Below are 17,243 nucleotides of genomic sequence, written 5' to 3' on the forward strand. Positions count from 1 at the left end.
TTTTGTATAAGGTGTAAGGAAGGGATCCAGTTTCAGCTTTCTACATATGGCTAGCCAGTTTTCCCAGCACCATTTATTAAATAGGGAATCCTTTCCCCATTGCTGGGTGAAGGACATGAACAGACACTTCTCAAAAGAAGACATTTATGCAGCCAAAAAACACATGAAAAAATGCTTGTCATCACTGGCCATCAGAGAAATGCAAATCAAAACCACTATGAGATACCATCTCACACCAGTTAGAATGGCAATCATTAAAGAGTCAGGAAACAACAGATGCTGGAGAGGATGTGGAGAAACAGGAACACTTTTACACTGTTGGTGGGACTGTAAACTAGTTCAACCATTGTGGAAGTCAGTGTGGCGATTCCTCAGGGATCTAGAACTAGAAATACCATTTGACCCAGCCATCCCATTACTGGGTATATACCCAAATGACTGTAAATCATGCTGCTATAAAGACACATGCACACGTATGTTTATTGCGGCATTATTCACAATAGCAAAGACTTGGAACCAACCCAAATGTCCAACAATGATAGACTGGATTAAGAAAATGTGGCACATATACACCATGGAATACTATGCAGCCATAAAAAATGATGAGTTCACGTCCTTTGTAGGGACATGGATGAAATCGGAAATCATCATTCTCAGTAAACTATCGCAAGAACAAAAAACCAAACACCGCATATTCTCACTCATAGGTGGGAATTGAACAATGAGATCATATGGACACAGGAAGGGGAATATCACACTCTGGGGACTGTGGTGGGGTGGGGGGAGGGGGGAGGGATAGCATTGGGAGATATACCTAATGCTAGATGACGAGTTAGTGGGTGCAGCACACCAGCACGGCACATGTATACATATGTAACTAACCTGCACAATGTGCACATGTACCCTAAAACTTAAAGTATAATAAAAAAAAATAAAATAAAAATAAAAAATAAAAAATAAAAAAAAAATTGAGAAGATACTGAGAAATGCTCAGGACTCAGATTGAAGTTCTGAGTTGGCAGAGAACTTTGCAGACTTTGAAAGCTGGCAAAGAACTTTCTTCGTCATGACTTTTTAAACATATTTCGGTAAAGTTATGGTAAAAAATAAACCATTAAGATTTAAGCAAATTAAGATCACATTAACTTTGGAAGAAAACATTTAAATAATTACAGAAACAGTTTTTTTAAAGAAAATTCTGATTTTCCTGGCATTTGAAGAAGAAAGATACATTGTGATTCCATAATTTTGATATTCAAATGCAAGGAAAAAATGCTTTGTGGAAAAATGTTCATAAAGATATGACCAAATGCTCCAGTGAAGAAATTGTAAGACTGGATTCTTTCTTTTTCCTTTCCTACTTTTTTTCAGTCTGTCCTAGAATAAATTAATCCATATTTTCAATGTGAGTAAATGCTACTTATTTTCTTAAACTATAGCACTGTAAGAAGGAATAGACAGGAGTACTAGAGGGAGATAAAATTAGATCACTTTTGATGGCATTTTAGAATGCCATTGCATGGACATTAAAATTTACTTGTTGTCTTGAGGCAATAAAATAATTTACTCCTCAACAAAGTAGGCACTGAAAGTACATATCTCAAAATATTAAGAGTCATCTATGAAAAACCCAAAGCCAATACCACACTGAATGGACAAAAGCTGGAAGCATTCCCCTGGAGAACCAGGAAAAGACAAAAGTGCTCACTGTCACCACTCCTATTCACCATAGTACTAGAAGGCCTATCCAGAGAAAACAGACAAAATAAATAAAAGATATTCAACTAGGAAGAAAGGAAGTCACAGATAATATGATACTACACCTAGAAAGCCCCATAGTTTCTGTCCAAAAGTTCCTAGATCTGATAAACAATTTCAGCAAAGTCTCAGGAAACAAAAAAAATGTACAAAAATCAGTAGTGTTTCTACACAACAACAATGTCCAAGCTGAGAGCCAATTAAAAAATGCAATTCCAATCACAATAGCCAAAAAAAGAATAAAATACCTAGGAACACAGCTAACAAGGGAGGTGAAAAATGTCGATAAGAATTACACAACATTGCTGAAAGAAATCAGGGATGACACAAACAAATAGCAAAACATTCCATGATCATGGATAGGAAGAAAAAATATTGTCAAAATGACCATGCTGCCCAATGATATTTACAGATTCAACGCTATTCTTTTCAAGTACGAATGACATTTTTCATATAATTAGAAAAAAAATGCTAAAATTGATTTGAAAACAGAAAAGGGCCTTAACAACCAAAGCAATACTAAGCAAAAAGAACAAAGCTGTATGTGTTACACTGCTCAACTTCAAACTATACTACAGGGCCACAGTAACCAAAACAGCATGGTACTGGTACTAAATCAGACACATAGACTAGTGAAAGGGGTAAACAGATCCAGAAATACAGCTGTAAACCAACAACCATTTGAACTTTGATAAGGCAAACAAAAACAGGCACTATGGAAAGGACTCCCTGTTCAATAAATGGTACTTGGTTAACAGATTAGCCATATCCAGAAGATTGAAACTGGACCTCTACCTTTCACTACACACAAAAATCAACTCAAGATGGATTAAAGACTCAAATGTAAAACTTAAATTAGAACTTAGAAGAAAGTCTAGGAAATACCACTCTAGATATTGGCCCAGGCAAAGACTTCATTATAAAGACTCCAAAAGCAAATGCAATGAAAACAAAAACTGACAAGTGGGACCTAATTAAATTAAAGAGTGTCTGCACAACAAAAGAATCTATCAGAATAGTAAATAAATAACATACAGAATGGGAGAAAAATATTGACAAAATATGCCTCTGACAAAGTTCTAATATCCGGAATCTATAAGGAATACAAACAAGTCAACCATCAAAAAGCAAACATCCCCATTAAAAAATGGGCAAAGGGCATGAACAGACACTTCTCAAAAGATGACATACATGCAGCCAGCAAGCTTATGAAAGAAGCCTCAATATCATGAATCATTAGGGAAAAGCAAATTAAAGCCACAATATGAAACCATTCACTGCAGTCAGAATAGCTATTTTTAAAAATCATAAAACGACAGATGCTGGTGAGGTTGGGGAGAAAAGGGAATGCTTATACACTGCTAGTAGGAATGTAAATTAGTTCAGTCACTGTGGAAAGCAGCCTGGAGGTTTCTCAAATAACTTATAACTACCATTTGTCCAAGCAATTCCATTATTGGGTATATACCCAAAGTAATATAAATTCATCTGTTATAGACACATGCACTCATATGTTCATCACAGCACTAGTCACAATAGCAAAGACGTGAAATCCACCTAGATGCCCATCAGGGGTGGCTTGGACAAAGAAAATATGGTGTATATTCACCATAGAATACAATGCAGCTATAAAAAATGAGATATTGGCCTTTGCAGCGACATGAATGGAAGTGGAGGCGATTATACTAAGTGAATTCATGCAGAAACAGAAAACCAAATACTGCATATTCTCACTTACAAATGCGAGCAAAAATTCAGTGCACATGCTACATATATGTGTGTGTGTGTACATATATATATACACATATATATACACACATATATATATACACATATATATATACACACACACATATATATATATAGGAGTTTATTAAGTATTAACTTACACAATCACAAGGTACTACAATAGGCTGTCTGCAAGCTAAAGAGCAAGGAGAGCCAGTGCAAGTCCCAAAACTGAAAAACTTGGAGTCTGATGTTTAAGGGCAGGAAGCATCCAGCACAGAAGAAAGATATAGGCTGGGAGTCTAGGCCACTCTCTTCTTTTCACGTTTTTCTGCCTGCCTTATATTTGCTAGAAGCTGATTAGATTGTGCCCACCAGATTATGCGTGGTCGGCTTTCCCCAGCCCACTGACTCAAATGTTAATTTCTTTTGACAATACCCACACTGACACACCCAGGATTAATACTTTATGTCCCTCAATCCAATCAAGTTGACACTCAGTATTAATCATCTCAAGTCCAACCCTTGTCAATTTGAACCCATACACATCTCCTTAGATCATACATAATCTTTAAATAAAGACAATAATGAGGTCATAATTATGCCTAACGTAATACAACTATCTTTCATATAACCAGAAACCCACAAATCCCCAATCCAAATACTATTACATAAAGTTAATAACACCTAAATGCTGATAGGAAGTCAATAAATGTTATGTCACATGAGAAAGAAAAAGGAAATAAAATGAAATAAGGAAAGAAAAGAAAAAAAGGAAAGAAAATAAAATATTTTCTAGTACAAGTGTATACATGCACAAACAAGTTTTTAATGAAAGAAGGAGGAAGTACTCATGACAGTTACAGTCCTCATTTCTGCAGCTGGTCACGTGGTTTTAGCTCGTATTGATGACTACCTTCTTCTATTGCCCATTCTGTATTCCCCTTGTCTTCAGCAAGCACCTCAGCAGCTCCTAGATTTTTTCTTGGTGGAGTGACCCAAACCGTCATTTCTGGAGTCTGGACAATTTGTAATCCTATCTGAAATGGGCTTTTATAGTTTCCCATTGACTTTAATCACAGGGCATGGTAATACTAAGAGATGCCCTAATAGATTTCCTGTATTTCATGCATACTCTTCCTTAACCTCTGCTGTGGAGTAACAGACTGATTGCATCTTGATAGTCCAATTCAATCACCCCAGCCAACACTGTAACTCCTTTCTAAGTCTGTTGACTTAAAGGTAGGAGGAGCCCAAAGTGTCTAGGAGGCAATATTAACTTCCAGTTTAATTGAATCACTGTTACGTCTCCTAGTAGCAGCATTCCTCTGTCTGGATCTAAAACCTCTAATATCGCAGGAACAGGAAGCTAAAATTTTGATATTGGGTCACTAGAGGTGATGGTGAGTGGTGCCACCACCATACATGGTAACTTAATGACCCACAGTAAAACATTCAGTTTCCACCAAAGCCGAGTAACAGGCCAAGAGCTGTCTCTCAAAAGGAGAGTAGTTATCTGCAGAAGATGGCAGGGCATTGCTCCAAAACCCTGGAGGCCTCCGCTATAATTCACCTATGGAAGCCTGCTTAAGGCTCTCAACAGCATCACTATCTGCCACTCAAGCACCACTGGATCTGCTGGGTCATATGGCCCAAGTGGCAGAGTAGCTTACGCAGCAGCCTGGACCTGTTGCAGAGCTTTCTCCTTTTCTGGACCCTGCTCAAAACTGGCAGCCTTTTAAGTCACTTGATAAATAGACCCAAGTAACACACCCAAATGAGGAATATGTTGCCCCCCAAATTCAAATAGGTCCACTAGGTATTGTACCTCTCTCTTGGTTGTAGAAAGAGTCAGATGCAGAAACTTATCCTTTACCTTGGAAGGAATATCTCAACAGGCCCCACACCATTGGACCCCTAGGTATTTTACTGAGGTAGAAGTTCCCTGACTTTTAGTCAGATTTATTTCCCATCTTCTGTCACACAAATGTTTCACCAATAAGTCCAGTGTGCTTGCTACCTCTTGCTCACTGGATCCAATCAGCATAATGCCATCAATGTAATGGAATGGTGTGATATCTTGTGGAAGCAAAAAACAATGTCTCCAAATAAGATTATGACACAAAGCCGGAGAGTTGATATACTCCTGAGGTAGGACCTTACAGTTACGTGGCTGGCCTTGCCAGCTGAAGACAAATTGCTTCTGGTGGGCCTTATGGACAGGAATGGAGAAAAAGGCATTTTCCAAGTCAATGGCTGCATAACAGATACTAGGAGATGTGTTAATTTGCTCAAGCAATGAAACCACATCTGGTACAGCAGCTGAAATTGGAGTCACCACTTTGTTAAGCTTACGATAATCCACTATCATTTTCCAGGTTCATCTGTTCCGCAGAGGCCAAATGGGAGAGTTGAACAGGGATGTGGTGGGAATCACTGCCTCGGTGTCTTTCAAGTGCTTGATGGTGGCACTAATCTCTGCAATCCCTCCAGGGATATGATATTGTTTTTGATTTAGTATTTTTCTAGGTATAGGCAGCTCTAATGACTGATGGCAGCATGGATCAGGGAAGGGACATTGCCACTGCTGGGGATGGGGAAGCTGTTCCTTCTGGCAAAAATGGTTCATTAGAATTTACAAACTCAGTGTCCTTGGCTTCATCAGGGTCCTCCTCCATATCCCCATTTCAAGCTGCATGTTCCCATTCTTTTCCAATCAGTGCTTTCATTTTAACAGTAGACTCTTGGTGAGGCTGTACATGCATCTTTCATTGCAGGTCAGTCACTCACATAATAAGAGCTTGTGTTTGTGTTTCCACAATTTCAGCTCTTTCTCTACAGGAGATAAGACTCCCACTCAGGGCAACCCTAGCAGACTTGAGGCTCGTATCTGCTTCTGAAGTCGGGAGACAGAATCCCTGAGTTCATCATTTTATTTCATCACTTTGTCCACCACTGAACTTAAGAACAACCAACCAGCTTCATTATGTCCTTGGTTCTCAACATATGGTCAAAGGTATTATGTATAGAGTCACCAAACTCTTTGCCTCTTAAGAGCAGTGAATCAGGAGTGTCAAATGCATTTATTTTGCGTAACTCTTTAAACTGTTTCTGCCAAGGACTATCAGTGTTCTCCACACTATTAGAAGCAGAGTCTTTAGCATTTTTGGGTCTAATCATATAAGCAGCCAACTCCAGAAACCCCAATACCAATGAAAGAACTCCATCCTTAATATTCTGTTCCTCTATAACCACTCCTGGTACTAAAATTTGCATTAGTCAGGGTTCTCTTAAAGGTATTTATATATATACATATATATATATATATATATCCTATTAGTGTGTATATATATAAATATATATATCCTATTAGTGTATATATTTATATATATTCCTATTTGTTAGGAATATATATATATCCTATTAGTTGTATGTATATAAGTACGTAATAAAGTCATATATACACATATATATCTTAATAAAGTCAGTATACACATATATATACGTATACATATACATACATATATACACACATATATGTATCTATATATATACATGTATGTATGTGTATATATATGTATATACATGACTTTATTAACAATTAAGTTACACAATCACAAGGTCCCACAATAGGCTGTCTGCAAGCTTAGGAGCAATGAAAGCCATTCCAAGTCTTACAACTGAAGAACTTGGAGTCCGATGTCCCAGGGCAGGAAGCATCCAGCATAGGAGAAAGATGTAGGCTAGGAGGCTAGGCCCATCTCTCTTTTTCATGTTTTTCTGCCTGCTTTATATTTGCCTGAAGCTCATCAGATTCTGCCCACCAGATTAAGGGTGGATCTGCCTTTCCCAGCCTACTGACTCAAATGTAAATCTCTTTTGGCAACACCCACACAGACACACCCAGGATTAAGTATCCCTCAATCCAATCAAGTTGGCACTCAGTATTAACCATCACTGTCCCTGTGGGGTATTATGCAGATTACTTGGGTGACAAAATTGTCTCTACACCAAATCCCAGCTACATGCAATAAATTACCCATGTAACCTGTACATGTACTCTATGAACCTAAATTAATTTTAGAAAAAGAAAAAAAAGATTTAACCTAATAAAAATAATAATGTACTGAGTTTCCTTTTATCTCTTTAAAAATAAATCATGGACATATGGTATTTAGTATAAAAATATGTACCACCAAATTAAGAATGAAAGAAAGCAAAATACAAAAAAGAAAACAGTAACAAAATACTTAGTTCTGTTAAACTTAAAAGATAATTTCATAGAAAATATCTGGAAATAAATATGTACCACATAATATTTCTCTGGGTTGCAAATTTCAGGAGCTAATAATGAAATTAACTGTGTATATATGACTGTTATGTTTCCTATGTCTATCTCCCATGAGCACATTCAATAAATTAGGATATGGTAAATTTTTCTGGAATTTTTTGGTTCCTTATACAGATTTTTTTTCTTGTAGCAGTACTTGAATTTCCTTTTGAAGTATTAATTCTGTTCCATTTTTTGAGTCCTTGTGTGAGCTTGTGTTGTGGGTCCTATCTTCTGTTATCCGCAACTCTCTTATCTTTCCTTCCCTTACTTTTCCTTCATTTTCCATTTTTCCTTTCATATTTCTTGCTCTTTCTGATAAAAGGATATAATACTCATTCGTACATATCATTAAAGCTAAGCCAATTCCTAGAATTCAATACTACAACAACATAATGAAGAGATAAACTTTGTCTCCACAAGATTGTGGAATGCTTACTAGTCTTAAGACTCTATAAGGTCCCTGTTCCCTCTTCCTTTACTTGTTCTTTGACCTTCAATCCTGTGAATTCTACCTTTACAAAAATTTTCAAACATTAAACAAAATTAACCAGTTATTTCCACTTTCAGTCAAGATGGAGAAACAAGAATTGGATTTACTCTCACACCTGATAGATAATTTATACACACACCCATACACAAACACACACACACACGCATAGAGGAATAATGTTCCTCAATAAGTTGTTTATCAATGAAGGAAAATAATTACTTAGAGAAGGGAAATAAATAAGGTAACCTTATGATTTCTTCAGTTTAATGCCTGGAGAAAAGTTGCTAAACCACAAGAGAAGGGAAAACCCAGACAGGGCCAGTACGTCTCACTGAGATGAGGAGACAGAGCTGGAAGGAGGTGGAGAGCAAAACAGCTAGAGATAATGAAACCTAACTGAGCAGACAGAGCTGAACTGAGAGAGAATTCTGAAGATCTTAGGTTTTCACCAGATATTAATCAAACTGTGGTTATAAGAGCACTGGGTGAAAATGAGAAAGAACTACCCAAAAGTAACAAAAACGATAAACCCCTAAGCTCACACAGTACAAGGAATAATGCCTATTTCCCTCAATTAAAAAAAAAGAATACACATACAAATAATGGACTCTGAGTAGAGAACCTAGAAGAGTCTGCCTCAGTAGTGAGGCGAAATTAACCCTAAAATAAAAACTGCTGTTATTTCAGCTCACAAACCGAGATTGTAAAGGAGCAAAACATTTTCAGTAACTTAATTTTGTTCCCCCAAATATCAAGTGATATTTATAGAAATACACAAATATCAACCACAAGATAAATTCACAATGTCATGGCCTGGAAAACTCAATATTTTAAGATACTACTTGTTCCCCAATCTATCTAATGCAATGCTAACCAAAAGACAAGCCAGTTTGTTTGTAGAAATTGGCAATATAACTCTAAAATTTATTTGGAAATAAAAGGTCACGAGGGTGACCAAAACAGTTTTGAAAAATAAGAGAAGAAACTCTATGTACAGCAGTTATTGTGTGGCTGCTGTATTCAAGATACTGTGTTACAGTCATCCATTTAGACACACCACACTATAGATCAGAATACTGAGTCTAAAAATAGACAATTTACATATGTTCACTTGATTTTCAACAGGGTTACAAAGGTGATTCAGTAGAGAAATATATATTCTTAACAAATGGAACTGGAACAACTGTACATCCATATGCAAAAACAATGAATCTCAATCCATATGTTATATTGTATGCCAAAAAAACTCACAACGGATCATGACCCTAAATATAAAACTTAACATTATGAAACTCATGGACAAAACCATAGAAAAAAAATCAGTGAAAGGATACTTAAGTTCCATATTAAAACCACAATCCATAAAAGGTGGTTGAATTTACACAATGAATTTTATTAAAATTAAGAACATCTGCTTTTTGAAAGATACTGTTAAGAGAGTGAAATAACAAGTTAAGACTGGGAAAGATATTTGCAAGTATATATCTGATAATGAAATTACATTCAGAATACGTAAAGAAATCTCCATTTTTAATAATAAGGAAACAGCCCAAATGAAATAAACAGGTAGATGATTTAAACACTTAGCATAGATATACAGATAACATCTTAGCATATGAAAAGATACTCAATGTTATCTATCATTGGAGACATACAAATTAAAATCACAATGTGATGCCATCACATACCTATGAAAATTTTGTAGTAACACTGGGGCCTCATGTAGTCTCTCAGTGTTGCTTGGCTTCCACATAGCAAGTGGCCTCAGGAAGTCAAACCTCTTACACGGTAGTTCAGCATTCTAAGCATGCCAGTTCCAACAAACATGAGAAAAAATATCTTAACTCAGATTTGGGAGTGACACAGTGGCACCAACACTGCAATCTATTGGTCAAAGCAGCCAGAAACCCACACAGATTTATGGAGAAGGAAATTAGATTTTACCTATTGATAGGAGAGCAGCAAGGGCACATTATAAAGGAGCATTTGAAAGCAGACATACTGTTCCACGAATCTTTGGAAAATACTCTGTCTACAGCAATGGGAGCCACAAATTCAGAGTCTATAAGAATTTCCCCCACAAATTACTTATAATTGTAAAATGAAAAAAGAATGGATCTTTATACTATCAACATTACAGATATGTCCCCAATAAGGAGTAATTAAAATGCTAGTCTCACCCATGTTTCCAGATCATAGTTCAACTAGAGAAAAAAAAAAAAATCATCACTCCTAATTATGCAAATGTGGGAATATTGATAGACATTATCCTTGGATTACGATGTTACTAAGGGATGAAGTCTGTTCTCTGATATATATCTGGTGTAAAAAATTTGTCCTTGCAGAAGTCATTGGCCAATTTAAAGAGGCTTTCTTAAAATGTCTAAAGCCGACTTCCTGCAGATCCTCTTTCTCTCATTACCAAGTATCACACTATTTTCTCTTTATGGTGCATATATATAAGCTATAAAACAATACATTACTGGCCGGGCGCGGTGGCTCACGCCTGTAATCCCAGCACTTTGGGAGGCCGAGGCGGGCGGATCACGAGGTCAGGAGATCGAGACCATCCTGGCTAAAACGGTGAAACCCCGTCTCTACTAAAAATACAAAAAATTAGCCGGGCGTAGTGGCGGGCGCCTGTAGTCCCAGCTACTTGGGAGGCTGAGGCAGGAGAATGGCGTGAACCCGGGAGGCAGAGCTTGCAGTGAGCCGAGATCCCGCCACTGCACTCCAGTCTGGGCGACAGAGCGAGACTCCGTCTCAAAAAAAAAAAAAAAAAAAAAAAAAAAAAAAAACAATACATTACTGCTTCTTCCCTTGGACTTATAATGTCACCTCTTTATTTGAAGCAAGCATCTAGTCATTTTCTTTCATCTTTTCACAAGTGCATATTATACTTTAGTTCTCTAGATAATTACCTCTTTCACTTTTATCACCCTGCTTCTGGCTAACTTCCACATCACAGCTACTATGAGGTAATATGAACCACTCCTAAGTAAATGATATTCTTGAAACTGCTGACCAGAAAATTTTACATCCCTATAGAAGTTATAGATACAGCAATGCCTTAGGATCTCTTTTGAAAAGTGGCAAATACATCTGGTTATTCTGCAAATTTCTAAACCCTGAGTTATACCTGTCATCATTGCAGGATTCAAAAAAGTGTTCCTGCTCTATCTTTGTATGTCAAACATAAGATTAATTCGTCCTTAGGGGTATACAATTTTAGGAGCTTGGATTTTATTCAATCTGGCATCAAAATAAGGTAAAATTTTGTCTTTGCAGGTTTGTCTTTCGTCTAAGTAGGTTATTGTAACTATTTAAATCTAAGGATTTCATTTACCAATCCAGGTGAAAACAGAATACAAACATCATAGGTAGCATTTGAAAATTAAAGGTAACATATTATGTAAAAATAAAATTATATAAGGCTAGAATCCAAGATTAGTATTTTCACACTTTGATGGTGTGTTAAAAAGAGGTGAAGAAATAAGGAACATGGTGTCTTTTCTTCATTAAAGCTGAGAAAAAATGAAAAAAAAGTTGTTGATCCTGCATAGAATATTAGAAAGAATACCTCTTTGAATGTCACTGTTATACAAACTTCGGGTGATTTGTGCTAAGGATGCTCATCCTTTAAGAAAAAAAAATATTTTGAGATTTCTGTTGATTCACATGCAATTGAAAGAAATAAAACAAAGAGATCTCATATACTTTCATCTAGTTTCTCAATATGTTAAGATCATGCATATTTTGTAGAATATCACTCCCAAGAAATTGACATTGATACAATTCACTAATTTCAGATTTCATCAGTTTTACATGCATTCATTTGTATGTATGTGTGTATTTAGTTCTATGCAATTTTATTACTTTTAGATTCCCGTGATCACCACTCTAGCATTTTCAGTATGTCCTTTAAACTCTTGTCCCTCAAAGGGACACTTTGGATGTCATTGATTCTTTTATGTTCCTAGGTTACAAAGAGAATGTAAGATTGACTCTGGTAACACTGTTAGAAAACATGTACTCTATAAATAATGATGGGCAATTCACTGAGACTCAAAATGGACACAGGAATAGGTGTCATACAAAAGGGATGGCTTTAGTGACTCACTATCTAATATTTGAAAATGTCAATAGTTGTAATAATAACATGTCATGATAATAATAATAATAAAATAACTGCAACTAGTTGAGCCTGTAAAAGACGGTAATTCCCTGGAGATACTTAAATGAGAAAATTCCATGGAAAATGTATAAAAAATGTGAATATATTACAGAGTAAATATAACTAGAATAAGATGTTTATAATTTTTTATTTATAATAGGTGGGACAAAATATTTGAATGTTTTTCCCTTCATAATAATATACTAATTTGCAAAATACGAAAAAAATATTTATACATATACACACACACATACACACATACACGAACACATGCATATCTCACATGTGTAACGTGGCTAGCTCCATGGACCTGTGACTTGTGCAGTTAGAGTTCAACATTTGTAGAGATCCCATACTTGGTTGCATCCTCTCATGTCACCATCTTGAAATTCTTCATTGTATCTTTAAACTTGTGCTTTGTAAGCAAACTCTGATTTGATCAAAGAACATGCCTGTGAGCAGAGAGTGATAGAATATGCATGTTTTGGTTATATGCTGCCCCAAGGGCACCATTTCCAGTACCCTTTGAACTCAGGATGCTAGTGAACCCACACTGCATGGCAGTTCATTGAGACTCCAAGTGGACATAGGGTACACATTTTAGGGTGGCTTACCTTGCGCACACTCAGAGTCTTCCTGAAAAATCATGCATCAAGGCCATGAGAAATGTGTGCTCTTTCCATTACTAGGTATGACTGATTAGGCAAGGGCACTGACAAACCAAAGAAGCTGCATTTGCCATGTGAACATTTCTGTATTGGCCAACCAATTATGCTGAAAATCATGACATAAAAGTAAAGTGGAAAAAAAAGCAATCTACAGATTTTTCCCCCTGTTTATCCAACTCATCAGTAAGCTAATGAGAGTCTTAATAGTGTGCATACAATCAAGAAGCAAAATAATAATAGTTGAATTAGATTTTTTCAGTGTTTCCATTTTTCAGTTAAGAATAAAATAAGTATGATCCACATATTATGATCTTTGTATTTTTGGTGATCCCACATTGGAGTTAAATGCTGTTACCTCTGCATTTAAAACTGGTGTTGAACAGTATATGAATGAATGCTAAAAGTCATTCTAAAATTATAAAATTTTGCTTTTTCTTTACATAGAATAGCATTAAATGGCAAACGAAAACATCATTAGTATATTTAGAAATAGCTAATGGGTACTAAGCTTAATACATGAGTGATGAAATAATCTGTACAACAAACCCCCATGACACACGTTTACTTATGTGAAAAACCTGCACTTGTATTCCTGAACTTAAAAGCTAAAAAAAAAATTAAAAAGAGAAAGAAGTGGAAGAAAGGGAAAGCTGTATAAATTAGTACCATTAATGGCACTCTTTATTTTCTTTGTGAACGAGGGGCCTATATTTTCATTTTGCACTGGGCCCAACGAATTGTGCACCTGGCACCGAATGCAGTAAATTATAAAGGATAAAATATGTTGTGAATAAATGTTGTTCATTCAAATAATACAATATTTACTATCCCAAAATTATCATAATTCACAATATAAAGAGACTTTAAACAAACACTGTCATTTTAATACTTGCAGAAAAATCATCTGTAAAATTAAACACTTAATTATTTGGTGTATTAGAAAGAGAAGGGGACTCCCTCAACTTGATAAAGGCATTTGTGAAAAATAAATGAAAAGCTAAGATGTAGTTAATACTAAAGACAGATGGATTTCTGATGTGTTCAGTAACACAGACAGGAGATCTGCTGCCATTGTTTTTTATTGTACAATGTGGGAGAGATCCGAGCCAATGAAATAAGATGGGAAAAAATGACTACATGACATAAAGATTAGAAAGAAGGAGGAAAATGAAAACTTTTTTTTTCACAAATAACAGGCCATCTATGTAGAAAATTATAAATACTTTACAAACATTCTGTTAGAATTAAGAAGTGAGTTTAACTTCTACAGAATGCAAGATTAATGTATTATTTATTAAAAACTTTACTTCTATGTACTTTCAACAAACAAGGGGAAATTTGTAGTTGAGAATAGCACTATTTACAAGACTATCAGAAATATAAAATATTGAGGGAAAACTTTGGTAATGTATGTGTAACACCTATACAACCAAAATGTTTCTAAAATATATTCAGAAAACCTGAATGAATGGAGATACACACTATGTTCATCTGTGAGGAGCCTCCAGATATTAAAATGTCAATTGTTCCCCTAATGACACTAGATTTAATGCACTCCCAACTGGAATCCCAATATTTTGTTTGATAAAATTGAACACTAAATTTATAACTTATATGAAAATGCAAATAGCTTATATTATGCTAAATAATTTTTATTTTTATTTGTTTTCATTTTTAATTTTAATTTTTTGAGACAGGTTCTTGTTCTGTTGCCCAGGCTGAAGCGCAGTGGTGTGATCACAGCTACTTACAGCCTCCACCTCCCAGACTCAAGCAATCCTCCACCTCTGACTCCTGAGTAGCAGGAACTACAGGTGAGTGACACCATACCTGGCTATTAAAAAAAAAAAAATTGTAGAGAAAGGGTCTCATTATATTGACCAGCTTGGTCTCAAACTTCTGGCATCAAGCAATCCTCCCGCCTTGCCCTCCCAAAGAACTGTGATTACAGGCATGAGCCACTGAACCTGGCACTGAATCATTTTTTAAAAGGAAGAACAATGTTGAAGCACTTACATTTTGCAATCTTAAAACTTACTGGAAGTATACAGCAATCAAGATAGTGTAGAATAGGGTTGGACATATAGATTCATGAAAAAAATAGAGTGTCATAATACCCATACGTGATTACGTACTTGAATGTGACCAGCTGATTTTTGTCAAAGATGTCAAGTGTTTTTATCGAAAAGGGCAGTGTTTTCGACATTTTTTCTTGAAGAATTAGATACTTATACTTTAAAACAATCTTTACCTTTTCTTCACACCTTATAAAAACTTAATTTGAAATGCATCATAGGATTACATGTAAGTGCTAAAATCAGAAAGCCTTTTGCAGCAATCCTGGGGGGTAATCCAACTTGAATTTGGCAAAGATCTTACATAGGGCATAAAAGCACAAATAATAACATACAAAAACATTAGCCTTCATTAAAATTAAAACTTTTTTTCATCCAAAGACACTGACAGTAAGTTAAAAAGGCAACCTAACAAACTGGGAGAAAGTACTTTCAAATCAAATACATAAGTAAAAACTATTAGCATTCAACAAATAAAAGACAAACCACTTGATTAAATAGACAAAGACAATTCACCAAATAATATGTGTGTGTGTGCAATTTTATGGTAAACGCAACCATGAAAAATGTGTCAACATCATTTGTCATTAAAGAAATGAAAATTAACAGTCTAATACCTCTACATAATCACTGGAAAAGTTACATTTCAAATAACAATATCATGCATTGGCGATGATGTTGAGTTGAGAAATGAGAACTCTCATATACTGCAGATAGACACACAAAATATACTTGAATGTCCACAGTAATTTTTTAATAACCTAAAAATAAAAATAGATGTGTGTCTAATGGTGACTGAATAAACTATTTTGGAATGCCCCAGAATGAAATATTTTAAATCAGATATATGGGTTAATCTAAAAAAATAGGCTAAATGAAAGGAGACAGACAGAAAAGACAATGTTGTGTATGATTCCATTTCTATGACACCGTAACAGAGGCAAAATTACAGTGACAGAATAAAGATCAATGATTTTCAGGATCCAGAGGTTGAGGGAGGAAAATGAATGTAAGTGAAAGTGAAAATATTGAGGGAGAAGGAAAGATAAATCTACATTACATATAGCTTACATATTTTTAGAATCAATACAACTGTACACTTAAAATTTGTAAAATTTTACTACTTGGAAATTATATCTTGACAAATCTTTCTTAACTTAAAAATATATTGTCTTCTGTCATCAGACATGTAGTATGATACAGAAGGGGGTTTTCGAGGCCAGCTTGTCATACGACTCATTTTCTTTTACATATAACTTACCTTTCTTTTTTGCACTTTTTAAAATACTAATAATTCCTAAAATGAAAACATACCAGAAAAAATCTAGATTTGAGCAAAATTTTATTTGAATTGAGGCAAGCTCCTTCGAGCTGTATATATATACGCTTTTAAGGTACATTTATAATTTTTTCATCTGCAGCTTTTAAAATTTTAATATACTACTCTCAATACCTGACAATGCTTGGTTGATAATGAAAATTGCACCTCCATGTAGCTTTAATTTTTGTTTACCATCTGATAATCCACTCTTAAATTCATCTCTTTAAGAAAAATGTTGTGTTGCCCTTTCTGTGAATTACTTCCTTATAGCATTTACACATTTTTCTACCGTGTTTTGATCTATTTGATACTAAATTTTAGTCTATATATGTTAGGGAATTTAACTCATATGGCAAAAATTTAGCAAGTATTTTTCTAAGGCTGGTCATTCTTTTTCTAAGCCTTATGTAGTTACATTTATTAAACTTTCTTTTGTGGTTACCTGATAGAAGTCCATATTTAAAAAGGCATTTCTCATGTGATGATGATAAAGCAATTTTATCATGATTTGTTCTAATAAACTCATGTTATTTTTTACATATAACATGTATACTTTGAATTTGTCCTGGTTACCACTATAAGTATGGGTTTATGCTTATGTCAATGATAAAATGACAACTCAGTTGTCTAAACAATTTTATTAAATATAGAATTTAGATCACTGATTGAGTGGCCTTTTTTTTTTCATAGAATAAG

Source organism: Homo sapiens, chromosome 5, assembly GCF_000001405.40.
Source record: "Homo sapiens chromosome 5, GRCh38.p14 Primary Assembly".
Lineage (NCBI taxonomy): Eukaryota > Metazoa > Chordata > Mammalia > Primates > Hominidae > Homo > Homo sapiens.